The 3,999-nt window shown below is 39.1% G+C and overlaps 1 annotated feature.

Annotated features, from left to right (window-relative positions):
* Positions 226-804: an enhancer, noted in NCBI's record as "H3K27ac hESC enhancer chrX:4393267-4393845 (GRCh37/hg19 assembly coordinates)". NCBI's record gives its function as "activates a minimal SCP1, AML or CMV promoter by ChIP-STARR-seq in primed H9 embryonic stem cells {active_cell/tissue: H9 hESC(primed)}" and the evidence as "EXISTENCE:reporter gene assay evidence [ECO:0000049][PMID:30033119]".

The following is a 3,999-nucleotide window of genomic DNA, read 5'->3' on the forward strand; positions in this document are numbered from 1 at the left end:
TGTAGTAGATTAAGGCAATAAAATATTACATTGCAATCAAAATAAATCAGCCAGGAGATAGCATAAAACATACATGAAACTTTGCAACATATTAAACAAGTTCAAACATATTACAAACAACGTAATATGCTTTAAGTTTAAAACTTAGATTAAAAAATATATATTTTTAAATAATATATACATATCCCAGCACTTTGAGAGGCTGAGGCAGGTGGATCTCTTGAGCCCAGGAGTTTGAGACCAGCCTGGGCACATGGCGAACCCCATCTCTACAAAAATATATGAAATTTAGCCAGGGATGGTGATGTGCACCTATAGTCCCAGCAACGCTGGGTGGCTGAGGTGGGGAGATCACTTGAGCCTGGCGAGGTTGAGGCTGCAGTGAGCCTTGATCATGCCACTGCACTGCAGCCTGGGAGACAGAGCAAGACCCTGTCTAAAAAAAAGAATATATGCATAAACTTTATCAAAATTAAAGCAACCACAAATTTAACAACCACAAATTTAGGGGGGGTCCTTGCTTTAAGCCAAGAAGGCAGAGAAATGAAATGAAGGGGAAACCACAAGTAGTTATAACATATTGTCGAGGTGACATTTTTGTGAACGTGAGGTATAAGTAGAAGAAAGTAAAGGAAGATAAAGGAGAGATGAACCAAGAAAGGAGAAAAGAGAAAAGGAGAGAAGGGAGGGAGGGAAGGACGGGGGAAGGAAGGAAAGAAGGAGGGAGGGAGGAAGGGAAGGAGAAAGGGAGGCGGGAAAGAAGAAGAGGGAATGATTTATGTACTACAAATGAGAATAAGTCATAAAGCAAGAATTATTATTAAATCATTTCCATATAATGAGTTGAAAGTAAGAGGGTGAGGAGTACTACAATGATTAAAACCACTAAGTGATGGAGATCTGGTTCTGAGAGACAAGATCACACCATGTTGTATAATTCTCCAGTTGGCTAGAAATTTGAGAAGCATGGCTCTGTCCAGAAATTCATTACAGTCCACGGATTGGAAATGTCATAGCAAAAGAAAAATTGTCTAAAGAAGGAGTGGGTTTGGATCAAAATGTTTTAACCACTTAGCTTGTGTGTGTGTGTGTGTGTGTGTGTGTGTGTGCAAGTTTCTCTCATGTGCCCATTTTATTTCTGCTGATGCATATTATTTTATTGCATTGACATTATATTTATACACTGGTAAAAATCAAAGGATGGTATATTTATTATTTTTGTCTGACTTCTAAATTCAATTAATGGCAACTGTGCATATGTTTCATATTTTTGAACTTTTCACATTACAATTGAACTCGTTAAATATATAGAAATATTTAAATTTGTGTCTTAATTTCTGTGCTTATAACCTTTCCAATTAAACCTGAACATTTTCTAAATTTGTATTATTTGATGCATCCACTACACATATTGATGAAATATAATTTAAATATAAAGTGGCTTTTAAATTTTTATTTTTATTTTATGGTCCTTTCACTGCTAAAAAAAAATTTTACATCAATGCCATCATGAAATTTTGGGGGAACAAATATTGAAAGTAATTTCTCTTTGGATGCATGTTTTAAATGTTGAGATCCCAAATAATGCAAATCTGAATATTTTAAACAGCCCCATGCGAGTCCTCACATTCTATTTTGAGAAATCTGATAGACAAGCTGGTAATTACATTGGACACCGGCTTTCAATCAACTCAGGCTGCAAGCTGTGCTTCAATGATTCTCCAAGCAGCATGATAATTAATCATCGACTTCAATATAAGATAATACCCTCAAAGCCCCAGGAGACAGCTAAGTATACATCAACCTCTTCCAGGGATGGGCTCCTCACTTTGAGAGCATAAACCTGTAATTGTTATCTTCTCGAAGTTTACAAGTGTGCCCTGTCAAAGGCCTCCCCCAAAGCAACATTTGATTTCTCCTTGGAGGAGACTCAGATTAATTACTGTTCATCGCCACCCCAATGAGTCATATCCCTAACCTGTAGGAAGAATCCATCAGTGGAATTGTAGTTACACATTCCACTGAAGCCACACTCAATTTGTGTAGACCAGGTTTGGCCCTTATCTTATCACAATCTATCTGGCATAAAGATATTATTTAAAGTTATTCTTAATGTGGTGATGATGACAGAGAAAAAAATATACAACTGATAATAGCCCCAAGGTCTATGCTGTGAGGAACAAGGGGATTCTGAGAATGGGGTGTCTGGAACAACTGACATGCATCTTCATTAAACAATCATTATAATCACAGGTTTGAAGGTGTCCATGCCTGAGCTCCAGTTAACTAATTGCTGTCATTTGCTAAGTGCTTTCGTTGGCTGAGTTCAGAGGACAGATGCTCCCCCACCTGGGACAAAAACAGGCTAATTTGCAAAATCCCTTTTTAATAGCACATTTCTCTGTATGTCTGTAGTTATCTGTTTCTTTATCAGAACCCCAACATGCAAGTGTAGGTCCTAGAGAGAAAGATGAGAGAGAACACCCTGATTTAAAGTATTTTCAAATATAACAGTCTATCAAATAGAGGAGATTTGGAAAGCAAATTTCATTATGAAACCCCACATTCGGAAAAGAATCACAAACACAGAGACACAGGTTTGCAAACCAATATCAAAGTCAGGACTGTATTCCAACAAGTAATCTCTGACAAGTATGAATTTGCAAGCTTGTGCCTCATCCCTCTCCCAGAATATAATTCTGTCAATTTGTCTGTGTAGCCTTGGGTGTCACCTACATCTACCTCATCCATCGAATAATAATTTTCTTCCCCAAAGTACCTATTATTTGTCAGGCTTTGTGGTGAGCAGTTTATATTTGCCACACACCTGGAAATGAAGATTGAAAGAAGTAGTGATGTCATTTTCACCATCTTGACCTCCACACCACCCAGTGAGGGGGAGATGATAACAGGTATCATGCATAGCCCATAAATGAGCAAGATATGTGTAGCTTCTGGATAGGTATGGAAGGGAGGAAGGGAGGGAAGGAGGAGAAAGAAAAAAGGAGGGAGGAAAAGAAACAGAGAGAGAGAGAGAATGAGGGAGGCAGAAAGAGGGAGGAAAGAAGAGAAGAAGAGACAGATGAAGAAAGGAAGGAGGAAAAAAGAAAGGATGGATAAAAGAAAACAGAAGGAAGGGAAAGAGAAAACGTGGGAGGAAAGGAGGGATGAAAGAAAGGAAGGAGGGAGGGGAAAATGAGGAAGGAAGGAAGGAAGAGAGGGAGGGAGGGGAGGGGGAGGAGGAGAAGAAGGAGAAGAAGGAGGAGGAGGAGGGAAGGAGGAGGAGGAAAGAGGAAAGAAAGAAAGAAAGAAAGAAAGAAAGAAAGAAAGAAAGAAAGAAAGAAAGAAAGAAAGAGAAAGAGGGAGGGAGGGAGGGAGGAAGGGAGGAAAGAGGGAAGAAGGAAGGAAGTCAAAAGGAAGGAATGTCAAAAGAAAATGGAAGGAAGGAAAGAAGGAAGTTAAGGGGAGGGAAGAGAGAGGATGGGGAGGATGAAGAGAGGCCATAGGGAAGAGAGATATTTTTATATTACCAAAGGCTCACCTTGATTGTAAAACTGAGCCAAGATGGGAATTTTGGTTTCTTGTCTGCCATCAGTATGGTGTCCCCAAAGAAACAAAGAAATTGATAACAACAGACATACAGAGAAATGTGCTATTAAAAAGGGATTTTGCAAATTGGCCTGGTTTGGTTTGGGGTGGGGGAGCATCTGTTCTCTGAACTCAGGTAACAAAAGCACTTAGTAAATGACAGCAATTAGATAACGGAAGTTCAGGCATGGACACCTTCAAACCTGTGATTATAATGATTGTTTAATGAAGAGCCAAGAGAGAGCCACTCTGGCATTCTAAAAGGAAAATGAGATACTCAAAATGACAAACCAGAGTGATAATCTATTAATGCGTTGACTTTCTCAGGAAGAGGAATCAAGTGATGCAGTGAATGGCACAGACAATCCTCACAGTGGAATGAGCTATAGTTGGCTACACATTTGAAGGACT

The sequence above is a fragment of the Homo sapiens genome, chromosome X (assembly GCF_000001405.40).
Source record: "Homo sapiens chromosome X, GRCh38.p14 Primary Assembly".
NCBI classification, from domain to species: Eukaryota; Metazoa; Chordata; class Mammalia; order Primates; family Hominidae; genus Homo; species Homo sapiens.